At 49.6% G+C, this 16,744-nt stretch overlaps 1 long non-coding RNA gene across 3 annotated transcripts in view; it reads left to right on the forward strand.

Annotated features, from left to right (window-relative positions):
- Positions 1 to 16,744, forward strand: part of LOC105375222 (uncharacterized) — a 46,023-nt gene that overhangs the window by 23,711 nt on the left and 5,568 nt on the right. The window lies entirely within an intron of this gene.

The raw sequence follows: 16,744 nt of genomic DNA on the forward strand, positions 1-16,744 counted from the left end.
GAGCATTAGCTTTTCAAGCAATGAGCAGGCATTTAATTTACTCCTTTGGAAAATTGAAGGGTTCTGTGTCGGGGAACTATTTGGATGACTTTTCCAGAAAAACAAGGTTGTGCAGATGTCTTTTTTGCCTCCATAGAAGATTCCCAGCATAGAACAGGGGCAACGGAGTCTTTCTGCTCATCTAGACACTGCCCCTGGAAGCAGAGGGAGCCACCCAGGCCAGGCTGCTGCTGGTTTTACTCTGGAAGGCCTGCAGAAGCTCAGGGCTGCCCCAACTGCAGCCTGTCCTGCATCTCCGGCTGTGCAGGGCTGTGGGAATCCCTGCCCTGCCTCCCTGGAGGCTTCAGAGCAATGACTACGCCCCACGGTTCAGACCCTGGCCGGGCTTCAAGCAAAACTGCTGATGTTTACTAGGGCTGGGGCTAAAGAGTGCCTACTCACCTGGGCTGCAAAATTTAAGGAGTGCCCCAAACCCCATAATCAAAATACATAATAATGTCCTGTATTTACAAAACAAAATTAATTAAAAAATCCATGATGAACAGAGCATCAAACTTAAGTAAAGGCAGCATTTGACCTTGTGCCGGCAGGAGCCTGAGAACAAGTGCCTTTCTCATTTCGCCCTACCCCAGCCCTGAGTCTTGGGGCTCCTCCCAGATCAGTGGAGTTGGCCTCTCTGGGAATGGGATCAAGATGGTAATATTTGGGAAAAGCTCTTCAGATAATTCTGCTATCAGAGGTTTGAGTACTCCCACTCTGAAAGAAATAATACATGAAACCTGAAGGTTGCAGAGGGGAAGGGATGGGAGATGCCATATGGTCCCTTCAGAAGGGACTGCACTGTTTAAGAGTTATATGCTAACAGACAAGAGAGGTCCCATCGGCCAAGGGGACTGCCATTCTGCTTTTCCACTTCCATCCCTTTGGGACATTCTCTGTGAATTCTCTTAGAATTCAGAAACTCCTAGAATGATTAGCTGATACGACAAATTAACTTGCTCTGTCTTTGAAGACCCTTTGCTCTATCGTCTCCTACTCCAGAAAACTAGGGTCCCTCCCTCTGCTCATCCACATCCTACACAGACTTCTAGGCGCAGCCCATGTCTTCTCTCTTCCAGGAAGTCCTTCCCAATGCCTCCTGTCCCGGGATCTCTCCCTCCATTCCTTCTGTAGCATACATTTGAGATCCTACTATATGACAGGCCGGATTACGGATATACAGGGATTGAATTTTTAAAAAGCTGTATGTGGGGAATTCAGATAATACCATCATATAATTTAATTCTACTAGAAGGTTTAGAATGAAAAGCAGCAATCTTTGTTCCCTGTTTCTCCAAGCCCAGTGCCTCCTTTAGGTTCTAATCACCCTTAATTCTCCTGGGTGTTTCCTCTAGTTTTTAACTCAATTTTTAAATATACGCTTACACAGTATTTTTTTTTGATACATCAGTTTTGGGCATTAGCTTTTGCCATGGTAAATAGCAGGTAAATCTCCCATCTCCCTCCTGCTTCTCTCCCCCCATCCTCTCATCATCATTATGTTCCAGTTTTTGATTGAGGACAAGCACTGTCGAGGCCATTACACATTATGACTATGCATTCTTTTTTATACAGCCCTCCTTTGTTCTGGAGTTAATAACCCCTTTTTAACTCGCCTGATGTCTAGTATCTATTGTTAATTTTTTCTAAGTGCTCCACATCTCTACCACTCACTAATCAGAAATCATCTCCGTTCAATCGAATGTATCTGTTTCGTTTTCCCCTCTGTTTCCTGGCTCTTCTCTGAACTCCTTGCTTGCTGGATCTGCTACTCGACTGTCCTCTTAGGACCTCTCTCTTCAGCCTGAGATTTACCTTCTCTGCCCTTCTCCATTAAGTTTCTCATTTCTGGAATCTCTTTTCTTCCTCTTCCTTGGTTTGTTCCCTGTTTTTGTTGCATACATCCTCCCATAGTGTTCTGAGAAAGGGGACTTAGGAAAGGGGACTTAAGAAGCAACATGTTCAGTGCTTTTACATCTGAAACGCCTGAAAATGTGTTACTCTCTGCACATTTGATTGATGGCTTCCCTAGGTTACCTAGGTGGGAAATACTTTTACCTCACAGTCTCAAAAGTCCTGACCATTGTCTTCTAATTCCCAGGATTACTAAAAAGCAACCTAATGTCGTTTTGATTCTTTGTCCTTTGTGACTTGCTTTGTCACTGTGTTAGGCCATTCTCGCATTGTCATAAAGAAATTCCTGAGACTGGGTCATTTATAAAGAAAAGAGATTGAATCGGCTCATGGTTCTGTAGGCTGTGCAAGAAGCATGATGCTGGCATCTGCTCAGCTTCTGGGAGGTCTCAGGAGACTTAAAATCATGGTGGAAGGCAAGGGGGAGCAGGCAAGTTACATGGCAAGAGCAGGAGCAAGAGAGACAGTGGGGAGGTACTACACACTTTCAAATAACCAGATCTCAGGAGAACTCACTATCACAAAAGACTGTACCAAGGGGACGGTGCAACACCATTCATGAGAACTCCTTTCCCATGATCCAATCACCTCCCACCAGGCTCCTCCTCCAACACTGGGAATTACATTTCAATATGAGATTTGGGTGGGGACACAGATCCAAACCACACCGGTCACCTTGGAGGCTTCTCAGATGTCTTCACTGCCCTCCCTCTGCTTGTCTGTGTGTCCTTTTTCATCCATTGTGCTGGGCACTGAATATCCCTTTTATTCCAGAAACCCTGTCCTAGGCCAGTAAACTTTTATGTGTAATTTTTCTGATAATTTCTTCTTAATTTCCCCTCACCTTACGTTCTGGAATTTTCTTCAGCCAGATGTTGGGCTTCCTACAATGGAGCTCTAATTTTTGTTGTTCTGTTTCCCCCCTATGTTCCGTATCTTTTACTTTTTTAAATTTTTAAAATAAATTTCTTGTACTTTATCTCTCATTCTTCTATTGATTTGGTAATTTATTAATACTTCAAAAAATTTTTCCAAGAGCTCATTTTTCTTCTCTGGTCCTTCTTCAAAGCTTTCTTGTGTCTGGATTCTCTCTCTATATATATTTCATTAAGAACGTTAATCATAGTTTGAAGTTTTCTTCTGTTCCCTGCATCTTCTCTATTTTCTCTAGGTTATTTTTTTTCAGTTTCTTTGTTTGGATGTTGGTCTTTAATGTTGGAGGATTTTCTCACATGTCTGGTGATCCTTGACTGCCAGTTCATATTTAAGAGAGACTCTCAGAGGCTGACTGAAGCCCACTGTGCCTGGACAGGGTGGGGCTACCAGTGGGATTCACACAGTAAGCCTGCCTTTCTGTTAGGGGATGCCCAAATGTCAGATCTTACCTTTTTCTGTGGCTTTGTTCAGGCCACAAAAAAAAATTGTTCAGGCCACAAAAAAAAATTCTTCTTCTTGAGAAGAATCAGCATCCTGACTGAGTGGTGGCTACTGGCTCTCTGGGATGCAGAAGCACTAGTGGGAATCACCTGGGAGATGTTTCAGAAGTGAAATTCCACAGGACTTATTTTTTTTCCTAAAGTTAGGGATTTTTTTTTTGTTTGCTTGTTGTTTACGTAGTTTTCTATATACCTATCATGAATTCTCCCTCAAAATCTGCAACAAAACCTAAAATGGCTTTCAATTCTGCCACCCTCTTCAGGGAATGTATCAGTTCAAATTGTTATTCTTTTTTTGGAGACATGCTCCTTAGAGCCTCCTGTTCCTGCCTGGAAGGGCTGCTCTCCAGGTCTCCCCAGCTATCATTCTAGAACTGTCCTTCCTCATCTTGTTGAAGGTTTTCTTCTCCTCTCTTTCTAATCAACTCCACTGTGTCTTGGAGGCAATGGCTTCCAACTTCTTTGCTAACTTCCTTGTTTGGGTGTAGCACACTCTCCAGTAACTTCCTGAAAAGCATATACAGAAGGTAGAGTTTGTGACTCCTTTTATGTCTGATTGTGTATTTATTTCACTTTTATTTACTCTTTGTTTTATCTACAAGATGGATAGTTTGGTTAGGTATGATATTCTAGGTTGCAAAAAAATTTCTCTCAAAGAGTTTGAAGGCATTGCTCAGTTGTTTTCCCATTTCCAGTATTTGCTGTTGAAAGGTCTCATGCCATGCTCAGTCCTTGTCCTTTGTCCTTTGTATGTGACCCGTTCTCCCCCTTGTTTTTAGTTTTTTCTGCCCCTGATATTCTGAATTTCATGATCATGTGCGTTGGTATGGATTCTCTATGAGTTGTCCTATGATTCATGGGTGTTTCAAAGCAGAGACTCATATCCTTGGGTTCTAGAAAATCTTGTATCATCTCTTTGAAAAATCTCCTCCTTTTGCTTTCACTTGCTGGAACTCCTGTTAGTAAGGGGTTAGCGCTTAATGATTTGAACCTCCCATTTCATATAAAAGATATTTATATCTCTCTTATTTTCTAACTTGTCATCTTGTTCTATTTTCCAAAAGATGTTTTCAACTTAATCTTTCAGCCTTTCAATTGAACTTTTTTATTTTTATTTTTATTTTTTTTGAGACATAGTCTCTATCTTTTGCCCAGGCTGGAGTGCAGTGGGGCAATCTTGGCTCACTGCCACTTCTGTCTTCTGGGTTCAAGTGATTCTCCTGCTTCAGCCTCCCGAGTAGCTGGGATTACAGGCGTGCACCACCAGGCCTGGCTAATTTTTTGTATTTCTAGTAGAGATGGGGTTTCAGTATGTTGGCCAGACTGGTCTCAAACTCCTGACCTCAAGCAATCCACCTGCCTCGGCCTCCCAAAGTGGTGGTGGGATTACAGGTGTGAGCCACCGGGCCCTGCCTCATTTGAATTTTTAATTTAAGCTATGATATTTTTCTTTTTACTTTCTAGAAACTTTTGCTTATTCTTCGGATGTTTCTTATAAAAATAGATTGGGTGCAGTGGCTCATGCCTGTAATCCCTGCACTTTGGTAGGCTGAGGTAGGTGGATCACCTGAGGTCAGAAGTTTGAGACCAGCCTGACCAACATGATGAAACCCCATCTCTACTAAAAATACAAAAAAAAATTAGCCGGGCATGGTGGCAGGCGTCTGTAATCCCAGCTACTCAGGAGGCTGAGGGAGGAGAATCTCTTGAACCTGGGGGGTGGTGGTGGTAGTGAGCTGAGATCACGCCACTACACTCCAGCCTGGGCGACAAGAGCGAAACTCTGCCTCAAAAAAAAAAAAAAAATGTATTATGTTCTTCCCCATTCTGCCCGCCAACCCCATGTATCCAATATATTTTATTAATTTTCTAAGGGTATTAGCTGTATTTTTAGTTTTTTCTCATATTTGTCTCTGTTTCCTTGAAGTCTCTGTCTCTGTCTATCTAGTCATTTCCTAGCTCCTCCTCTCTGGCTGATGTCTTTCATGTAGAAGACATTTCTAAAATGTTTGGGGACCCTTGGCAGGAGTCCATATTTAAGACAGAGGCACCAACAATCTGACAGGAGAGTATGTGTGCATAGACAGGGCTTGTCCTGGCATGGGCTTTCCTGGAGGTGATCAGGTGGCAAGTCCAAGTGCTTCTAGGTCTTTTTCCTCTTGGGCTGGTTAGCTTTTCCAGAGAGGAGCTATCTAATTTCTCTCTGGGGATGGTTAGTGTTCTGCAAGTGGAGTAGCAGCTAGGGGCTGGAGTCCCACAATTCTGTGCATAATCCCCTGTTTTCAGTATGGTGTCTCATCCTCCACCCTGCTTCACAGCCCCAGAGTCACCAAGACCTGAGACTCTGGGTGCATTTCTTGTGAGAGTAAACTTTCCATCCTCAGCCAGGTGGGAAGGGAATTTAAGAGTGCAATGGGGAGTGTTTAAGTCCTTTTTTAAGGAGATGTTCACCACTCCTTCTGTGTCCAGCCTCACTCCTGCTTTCGGAGGAACTGGGTGCTCTACGTCCTGAGCCTTTCCGGGTGCCCAGGTGAAATCCATCCCCTGACAAGCACTTAGCTTTCCGCCTTCTCAGCTCTGCCAAGGCATTTACTGTTCCTCCACTTTCCTTTTCAAACATATTGCTTCCCGTTGTCTCCTCTGGTTGTCTGTTCCTGTCAGTGGGGGCTTTGCAGGGGTCTGTGTAGAGAACATAAATGACCGTGGAAGATCCAGAAGTCTCCTGAAGGCCATCTAGTCAGGGCCTCATAAGCCTCCTGGCCCCTCTCCATGCTGACGACCCCTGGTTCCACTCACCAGCCCAGCTCTCTCCTCAGAGGCCTGGGTGCATGGTGTGGACCACAGGCCCCTCACATTCAACATCCCTGAAGCTGATCTCATCCCCACTCCCTCCAAAGCTGCTCTTTCTCTTGTGTCCTGCCATAGGGGATACCCCTGCCATTCACCTTATGCATCCCACCAAGACACGCAGCTGTCACGCACTTCAAATTCCACTTCCTCTTGACTCTGGTCACCCCCTTTCACTGCCACCTTGATCAGTCTGGCCCATGCATCGGTTCTCCACTGGACTGCAGCTGCCTCTTAAGTGGTTTCGTTCTCCCAAGTCTGGCTCAGAGAGACACCTCTCCATCTCATCATGCTGCTCATGCCCAAATACACAAGGAAGCTCCCCCGCAGTTCCTCACTGCCCCAGCCCAGGAGGCTTGTCATCAGGCCCGTCTGCTGCATCCCCACTTCCCACCTTGAGTGCTCTGGAGTCCAAATAGTGCTCATCACACTTGACGTCTCACCTCGAGCCCTCAGAGTTGTCCCTGTCTCTTCTCCCTATTCCTTCCCTGTATCTTCTGTCTTCTCCTTCTCCTCGCCTCTTTTCCTCTGCCCGACCTCCCTTCTTCATCGGGTGTCAGCTTAAATGTCACTCCCCCAGGAAGCCTTCTGCAACTCTGCAGCCCTCCCCACCTCACCAAAATTGCATGGGTGCCCCTTCTGCCCATCCTTCTTCATACTGCAACATCCTCCCCTGGTCTTGTCCTGTCTTCCCATCACGCTGCAAGCTCTGTGAAAGCAGGCTCCTGACTGCCCTGCCCAGGGTGTGTGAACCTGCCCACCCTGCCTCCAGAGGCTGGCCTAGTGCTCGGCAGAAAGCAGGCATGGAGTTGTTAAACCTGTTAATTAATGTTATAGTTAATTTATAATTATATATAGACTGTATGTTACGTATTCATATAAATATATTTTATATATAATTATACAGGTTATAAATTAATGTTACAAGGTATTTAGTGTTCAATTAAATACTTGTTAAATTATGGATGGGTGAAGTCCACTGTGGTCTGGGCAGTGGGCAGCGTTTTACCTGAGGAGGGAGAACTGCCTTGGTTTTCAGGAGCCTGTGATGAGTGAGAAGTCCCTGCCAATTACTGTGCCCTGGCCTCAGAGGGACCCAGATCTGGGTCACCATGGACCCCAAGGAGAAAGGTGTGTCCAGAGTAAGCAGGGACATTTCTTCTGCTGCTCTTGCTGTGACGGTGGCTGTGCCCCTCCTGTCACACCTCTCTGCTTTCACAGTCTTCCCATCGCAGCTCTAATTGGGACCCCAGAGAGGCTGGGCACAGATCCAGGGCTGGGTGGGTGGGGAAACTGTCACTAGCATGTGCCAACTCCTCCGCCTCCACCTGGGCCTCAGTGAGAAGCTCAGTGAGGTGCAGCCACCTCAGTGGGGAACAGTCCCTGGCAATGCACCAGCCCTTTCCCCATTGCCACTGCCACTGCTGTCACTGCTTCCCCCATAGCCTCTTAATGAAACATCATCTCCCAGTATTTCCCCAAACCACCTTCTTCTCACTATTCCTACCACCCCTGCCAGCCATAGATTAGGCTCCAGCATGTCTGGTCTATGTTTTATTTGCCCCCACCGGGCACATTGCCTGTGCTGGGTGGGCAGGAGGCAGGAGCACAGGATGGCCAAGGGCAGAGACTTTGGAGCAGCTGCCTGGATTTGAAAACCAGAGTCCCATCACTGCTCCATGCCTCAGTGTTCTCACCTACAAAACCTGTATGAATATAACACTAGCAAATTAGATTGTTGTACGGATTAAACCAGCTGGTGCATGCAAAGTGCTTAGAACTGTGTCCAGCACACATAAGCCTTACAAAAGTTTTGCCAATTATCACAAAGTGGGCACTCAAGAAAGATTTGCTGGGTGGAATTGTGTCAGGGTGCTGGAGGTGGGCTGTCCCTTTGGCTCTGGACAGCCACAGCTTCCTGGCAGGTCCCCTTGTGTCCTGCTAACCCCCTCCCAATCTGCCCTCTCCACTGTTGGATTGCCAAGGCTTTCAGGAGCCTGAGCTTTACATGCTCTGGCCCCTTCCCACTTCTCTGTTTTTCTCAGCCATACACACACAAACATGTGCACACACACATGCATGTATATGCACACATGCGCACACACACATATGTACACACAAGGTACATATATATGCACATGCACACACACCCTTCCCATGGGTCCCCCATGCTCCTGGCTGTTCCCATCCTCTAGGCTTTGCTAGGTCCTCTCTGCCTGCCAGCTGCTGCCCCTGCTTTTTGCCCCATGAGGTCCTCATGCTGGCTTTGGTTCTGTTGTCACTTTCTCTGGGATGCCTCTTCTGCTCAGATAGCTCACATTCAGGGAGAGCCGAATCATACTCACCCACCTCATTACTCTCACCTGAAGCTCCCTAAGGAGACCTTCCATCTCCCATGCAGTGATGGAGCCGTACCTGTTTACCTGGGGGTCTCCCTATCTGTCAGTGAGCATCTAAAGCCCCTGTTGGATGTTAGGGGCAGGTGTAAATCCCATAGGGCACAGCATCTTCCTTCTGTCTCTTAGCTTCCCTCCCCAGGCTCAGGGGCCACGGGGCCCCAGGTAGAGGCAGCTCCTTGACCTGCCCCCATTGGCTGGGCCTTGGCCACCTGCTGGGGCTCAGCACCCCCCCCCCCCCGCCACCTGCCTCTGCTCCTGACCTCCATGCCCACCACCTATCCTTCCTCCTCACCCTTCCTTCCTTCATTCCACAACCTGAATTGGAAGCCTGGGGTCCGATGTGAAGGCGAAGTCCCACTGAGGTGCAGTCTGGTGGGACATCATCATGCCATGCTCTCCACCACTGTTCATCCAATTCTCTCCTTGTTCAGGAGGCTGAGGCCCAGGGAGGAGACACTGTGCTGAGGGAGCTGAGGGCAGAGCTAGGCCTAGACGCCACTTCTCTCCACTCACAGGTCCAAATATGGGCCCTAAGGCTCACTATCTGCCCTTTCCCATCACCTCAGTCCCGCTGTTCCTCCCCCAACACTCCTCCCCGCTCCTGCTGCCCAACCACTGCTTTTCAGAAGCTGTCCCACCCTAGGGGAATGGGATGGAGGGCAAGATGTTGGTGATGACTGTCCTTCAGCTCACATGGTGAGCATTCAGGCAGTGGCCCATGCTGGTGGTTTGTCCCCTGAAGGGACTGGTGTGGGCAGGGGCTGGGGTTGGGCAGAGAGTCAGACTCACTCCCTTCTTCATCTTGTGCGATCTCAGAGAAGTAGAAAATGCTCCCAGATGTTCAGCCTGGCTCCTCAAGACTTAAATGCCACTGTCACAGGCCCGCTCCTCATGCCACTTGAAGCCTTATCAGTCACTTATACTTTGGTGTGAATGAAGGAAGGGGGCTAGGGAGTGAAGTGGGAGGATTTAGGGAACCAGAAAGGGAGACGCCTTGTCTGAAGTCACACAGCCTGGGCCAGGCAGAGCGGGGCAGCTTCTGAACCTACATACCTGGGCTACAGCTGCTCCTCTGAGCCTTGCACTGCCCCCTCCCCCGCAGTCCTCTGCTCACCATCCTGAATAGCGCCAGATCAGATGGACACTATTAAGAAGCTCTGGGTCAGCTGTAAGCCACCAGTGAGCATGCAGAAAATGGAGTGCAGCCCAGGAGGGAAAATGGAAAAGTCCCTTTGGAATTGCCCCACCCACTCTGCTTCTGGTTCCTTGCAGATTACCAAATTTCCAGCACTGTGCTTTTTTGGGGGGATATAGGGGAAGGGCCTTGCCCCACTTCCCTCTTAGTGGAGGGTGGAGTTTTGTTGTTTTTGCAGTGTTTTTGGCATCAAAGGTGAACTCTGGTTGTCATGGGAACTCCAGCAGAGGGAGGAAGGGAGAGGGCCTGAGGAGGCTGAATTAATTTCAGTTTCGGCTGGTTCTCCAAGGGGGAATCTGCGGGGGGTAAAGAGTGAGGGTCCCAGGAAAGACCCTCACCCAGGAAGGCCCCTTAGTGCCCCACGTCTCACATGCCCAGCCTGGCTCCAGGAGGCTCCCGCGTCTGCCATGCAGGCGTTCTTCCTTTTGGGAGGAGGCATGGGCTTCCCCTGCTGCCACAGGAGGTTCTGGGTCTAGAGAAGGTTGTCTTAGCATGGGTGAAGAAAGGGGATGAGGGAGCCCCCCAGAGAATGTCAGCAGGCTGGGGACCTGTGCAGACCCTTCAGTCCTGTTGGGGCAGCAGGGAGCAGCAAGTAGGGCAGGGCCAGGTGGTCTCTGAGTGGCTTGAGAACCCTGACTCAATTGCTAGAAGCCTCAGGCTGGGACATCCAATAAGAGCACAGGACCAGGCAAGTGGTGGGTCGACATGTTGTACTTTCCAAGGAAATAGTCCCCTTTTGCTATCTTTTGTAAAACACACATGTCCTCTCATCCTCCAGTTCAATTTTCTACCTTTGATAGTGACACAGTGATAGAGTAATCAATCTCTACTAAAGCAACAGCTCAGGTCCAGTGGTAGATGCCAGCTGGCGTTAGGGATGGGGAGCAATGGGGATTGGTGAGGAGTGTGGTTAAGGGGAGAGCTTTGGTTCTGGATGAGGGGACTGTTCTACACGCTGCATCTGACTGCTGTCACATGCTGGGTCAATGCTGCCAGATTGTCCAACTGCTCAGACGAAGCCAGAAATACAGATTATGTGGACTTCCCTGATGTGTGCCTTTTTCCTTACTATAGTCCTCATTCCAGCTTCCTCTGCCCACGTAGGCCCAAGCCTTCTCAAGATCATGGATGAGGGAAACCTTGCTGTTACCTTGAACAGTTAAGATAAACCAAGCCCTTAGAAATGGTCTTATTTGTCTCATCCTGCTACAGATAGGGAAACTGGGGCCCAGTGGGGCAGAGACCTCCTTAGCCAAAGGCACTGGATGGGTTAGTAGTAAGCCGCAGCTGGAGGTATCCAGGGCAGATAAACAGAAGGATGACCCAAGAATGCATGTGCTCCTGTGAGTACGTGACAAGCGATGTGTCCCATCAGGGTGAGACGAGACCACAAAGGTGTGGGAATGATGTTAATTTTAGCCCACATTTATTGGGACAGGCACCAGAACAAGCAGAGTTTGGGTCTATTGAAAAGATATTTTATTTTTGTACCACACAGGCCCTTTAAACTGTATTATGGGAGAAATCCTTGCTTGCTTTATGAGCTGAAAACTCAGGTAGGTCCCATGTTTTTTCTGCTCACTCCTGTGTCACAGACAAAATGTTCATTAAAATTCTGAAATTGATTTAATGGCACTTCTTTTCCCCATGCCAGACTCAGGGCTGGAACCTGCAGTGGAAGGGGCAGGGGGTGAGGACATGGCCAGTTTCTTTGTTCTCCTTGGCCTTCTCTCTTCCAGCCGCCCTCCAGTTTATAAGCCAGTTTCTGACCCCTCCTGGGTGTGGGTAGGGCAGGAGGGAGGTGGGAGAGAGGGCTGGTAATGGGAGGCAAAGTCTTGCTGGAACTGGCTTTGCACACTCTCTGGGCCTGGCAGGTGGGTAGCACTGGCTCTTCTTCTGCAATACTCAGTGGGGGCCACCTCTATTCTGCCCCCCTGGGGAAGGAGATGGCATTCATCATGGGTAGCAATGCCCACCCCACAGCCCACCACAGCCACAGGACCCACATCATCTGGGGCATCCCAAGGAACTTGATCTGTGCCTCATATAGCCTCTCTTGGTCTTAGTTTCCTCATCTGTTAAATAAAGAGCCTTGTATAAGGTTGTCTTTCTGTGGCGAGGAGCAGTCAGGTCCTCCAAGGAGCGGGGGCAAGAGAGTTAGCCTTTTCTCCTGGCTCTCACCTGGGCTCAAGCAGAAGACCAAAGCCACTTCTGAGCTGCTGGGGGACTCCTGAGTTCATCCCCCCACCACCTCCCAGGACCTTTAGAGCTCCTGCTATCTGCCAGGGGCCCCTCCTGGCTCCTGTGGTCTCCCACTTCCTACAACTTCATGAACAAGGAGGGAGGTCAGAAGGCCCCACCCTCACCCACACTTCCTCCATAGCACCACCAATGCCAGCAGGAGGAGCAGCTGACCATTCAGGGGTGGGGCGGTGGGGGCTGTGGGGAGGGCCTGGGAAGATGTGAGGCAGGAGTACTTGACACCAGGTGATGCTCTGGACTTTCTCCTCCTCCTTGTCCCCCATCTCCTGACCCTAGCCTGTCACCCAGGACAAGGCCATGATGATAGGAAGCTGGCTATGGATCAGAGTGAGGACACTAGAGGGCCAAGTCAGTGCCCAGATATGAGGTGCAGGGGTACAGGGTGAGGGGCCCAGCTGGAAGCTGGTGCTAGTCTTGGTGGAGGAGAATTTGCTATGAAAGAGAGGATAATGGGTGGAGGCTTCCCAGCTGGGAGGGGAGAACTCTGTGCTTTCTTTCCACCTCAGTCAGAGAGCTACAGAAGCAGCGTCTTCCCTTCCTTGTTTGTACCCCTGGCCTCCCTGGGCATCAGCCGTGCTGGCTGGGGACAGGAGTGTGGGGTGGGGTAGAGATTGGGTGGGAGATGGGTCCATCCCCAGGAGTTTCTGATCCTCCTTCAAGCCTCAGCACAGATATCATAAATGCCCTTGTAGGTAGGTCATCAACACATCCATGTTCAAAAGAGATGAATCAGCTCAGGGTGATCAGGAAGTGCACCAGGAGGCTTTCCAAATACCAGAGAACAGGCCCATTCCTCAGGCTCTGTGAGCCTCTCTATGGAAGCCTCTATATGCCCTTCGCACACTGAGAGGAATTGCCACTCCTCTGCCACCCGGGGCCTGGGCTGTGTCCTTTTCATCTCTGACCCCCAGGCCCAGGCCTCATACCTGGCACAGAATAGGCATTGGATTGGTGCTTGCAGAATGAATGAATGAATGCAGGAGGAAGGTAGATGGAAAGAAGAGAGGAGAGAGAGAAGGGGCAGGTGTCCTGGAGGAGAGGCTAGGCGTGGGTGTCACTTCTGGCCAGCTGGGACCCTCTGGCCAGAAGTGACCAGAGAAGGTGGGGCGGGGGTCCAGGATGTTTGAGCCCAAGATCTGCCCATGCTGGCTTTTGTGCTGTAAGCTCTGCAGCCAGAGTGAGCAGCAACACACTTTCCTCATTCTCACACTCTGCCCTTGTCTGGGAGGGGAAGCCACTTTCGTGGGGGAGGGGCAGGTAGACATATGGAGATTTGGGGAAACACAAAAGGGAGAGAGCAGGAGGTGTGAGCCAGAGGCAGCTCCAGGTGGAACAGGATGGAGGGAGGGGAAGAGTAGGGTGGAGACCTGGAGAAAAGAAAGAGGCCAAGAGGGAGGCAGAAGGGAGAAGCAATGGAGGGCCTGGGAGGGTTTTGTTCTCCCCATTCCTTACCCTTGGTCAGACAAAACAGAATCTCCCTGTTTATAGGAAATGCTAAAGTGTACCTTCTTCAGGAATGACTCCTGGTTTGCATGAGCTGGTGACCACTCTGAGCCATCCAGGTTCATTCCCTCTCTCTCCAGGTGTCTGGTCCTTGGAGTCATGGGGCATTGAGTGGTCTGTGAGGGGTCATGGCCTAGTGTGCATTGGAGATCAGACTGTCTGGGCTCAAATATCTGCCTGCTGCTGACTAAATGATTCTAGGGGCAACTAGCTTGAATGCTGTCTCCCTCAGTTTGTCCATCTATAAGCTGGAGATAATAAAATAACCATCTCAAGGTGGTGATGTGATGTTTGAATGAGATAATATAAGTAGAGTGCTGAGCCCGGGGCATCATAGGGTCTGCATAAATATGTATTATTATTATTATTATTATTATTATTTTGAGATGGAGTCTCGCTCTGTCACCCAGGCTGGAGTGCAATGGTGCAATCTCAGCTCACTGCAACCTCTGCCTTCTGGGTTCAAGCGATTCTCCTGCCTCAGCCTCCTGAGTAGCTGGGATTACAGACATGCGCCACCACGCCTGGCTAATTTTTGTATTTTTTGTAGAGACAGGGTTTCACCATGTTGGCCAGCCTGGTCTCGAAATCCTGACCTCAGGTGATCCACCCATCTCTGCCTCCCAAAGTGCTGGGATTACAAGTGTGAGCCAGTACGCCTGGCCGAATATGTACTATTATTGCTTGGGGTGCTTCAAACAGATGCAGAGACAGCAGGCCACATTTAACTCCTGCACACCTGTCTCCTTATTCACAGAAAAGAGGAGAATGAGCCTGGCTCAGACAGCCTGCCATGGATGGTGAGAGAATCCATGTTGATGATGGACTGTAACAGCGACTGTTGCCAATGACTGGCTTCCTCCTTGGCTTTAAAAAACATTTCTCACCCTTTGAGGGAGGTATTAATGTCCATTGTACAGATGAGGAAACTAAGGCTGAGAGAAGACAGGTAGTTTGCCCAGAGCCACATGGAGGATCTCACCAGCTGGGGAGGCTGGGACTCCCTGTGCCTGAGGAGACTCCTTTCAATTTGATCTCTGGAGAGAAACCTCAGGGGGTGTTGAGGGCTGGGGACATGGTGGGGAGGAGAGAGGACAGGTTCAGTTCCTGCCCGACAACTCTCATTATCTGTCCCATTTATTGCTCCTTGCTGATTCTGAACAGCATGTACTAGGTCTTAATGCTACAATCACCTGCCTATTTGAGGAGAAAATTGGACTAAAATGGCCTGGAGCTTTCAGCCTACAGTTCAGGAGAAAGGCGGGTGATGAGCAGCACATGGAGCAGGGAGGAAGAGAATAGCTTCCGAATCAAAGGGTGTCAGCAAGGCCCGAGAGCAGCCATCAGTCCCAGGTAGATGCTGGGGGAGAAGAAAATGCCAGAGTCAGGGGGCCTGGCCCAGGCTTCTCCTCTGCAAGATGCAGGCTCCTAAACCCCTCACCCAACAAGACATGGTACAAAACTCTTCCAGAACAACTGGGGGCCCAGAGTTTTTCCCCTGAGACATAAAGCTGTTGTTCAGGCCAGGTAAGGGCCAATGGCATGAAGTGGTCTTTCCAGATGCTGGAGGGCGGTTTGCCCTGCACTCCCTCCCCCGAGTTCTGGACCCCCTTGGGAGACATCTCTAATTACATAGTCCCCCGTCCCACAGAGATTGTGCTGTGTCCTAGTTCAAGTGTTGGCTGAGAGTTACTGGCAAGAAGGAGAAGAAGGTCAGGACCCACACCCTGGGGACCACCCTCCTTGAAGGGGAGGGGCGAGGCTTACCCAGGGAGGCAGAGGAGGCGTGGCAGTGGGTGGGATCAAGGAGGCTGAGGGGTGTGGTCATAGGTGTCCTGTGCTACAGAGACAGAGTAAGGTGAGGCATGAGGCTAGCAGGCCCAGTGACCAGGAGGTCATGGGGACTCTGAGTCCTCCTGGGGGCAGCTGATGGAAAAGCCCAAGTCTCAGAAGCCAAGTCAGGCCTGCCATTGTCAGCACCCCTTGGGTAGGCTGGGATCTCCAAGCTGTCCTGGGAAGAATGTGGGGCTGCACTACTCCAGGCCCCCAAAGTCCCATCTTGTGATTATGGATGGGGAAGCTGACTCACAGCAGCTCTACCCTATCCCAGCGCATTTGCCCTGGGTCTTGGCCAGCTGCCCTCCTACCTACTTTTCTCTCTTCCTCCCACTTTCAGGGCCAGAGGACTAGACCACCACAGGCCTGAGTGTGTCCTCATTCCTGCCCTCTCCCAGGACTTAGAACTTTCTCTTTCCAGGAGTGCAGGAGTACTCAGACTGAACCTGAATTTTATGCTGCAGCTCAGACCTCTGATTTCATGGATCGCTTATGACTGGGCTTGGGGGATTAGACTTTTAAGAGGAGGCTCAAGCTGAGACCAGACTTTGAAGTGACAAAGTTCACCAGCAAGTTGGCTATAGGAGCACTGGCTGGGGCAGCATGAATGGCTCTATGTTGCCCTCCCCATCACAGTGGTCAAAAATCAGTGCTCACAGCTATGGCAAAGGTTGAGGGAGGGAGTCTACACCCTTGGTAGTGGGGAGCTGATAGCACAGCCTCCTTGAGGCACATATAGGGGTCACCTGGTGATCTGGGCAGTGACTGAGTCATCCTTGCAGCCACTGGGCCTGGAACATCCAGTCCCCACTGGTGGACAGGCACTTATTTGGACCATGTGCCTGTCTGCCTATGTCTGATGTGATCTCCTTCAGGGGCCTATGTTTGCCTGCAGCACGGAGGCCCTGCAGACGTGGGCTGAGGAGGGGTAAGGGAGGACCCTTGAAATCTATGGCTCCTGTATTCGTCCCTTCTCACAATGCTGTAAAGAAATGTGGGGACTAACAAGAGCGATGCCATTTCTCTACATTGGTGACTGTGTTTTCTACCTTGGTGACGGTGTTCCCAGAAACAAAGCAGGTGTCAACCTTGCCCATACTTTTAATAGAGCATAACAACCCTAACCACAACAGAGCCTGATGGCCCTTACCACATCCTTCTCCAGCCCCCAACAGTTCCAACCTGCCAGCACTTACGCAAACCCTCCCCTATAGAAACTTTATTATAAAAACCTCAGTTTCTAAGTGACAGGGTCTCAGCCACATTCCTGACTGGGACCCCTCACAGGCTTATTCTTGTAAATAAACCTGTTT

Source organism: Homo sapiens, chromosome 7, assembly GCF_000001405.40.
Source record: "Homo sapiens chromosome 7, GRCh38.p14 Primary Assembly".
NCBI classification, from domain to species: Eukaryota; Metazoa; Chordata; class Mammalia; order Primates; family Hominidae; genus Homo; species Homo sapiens.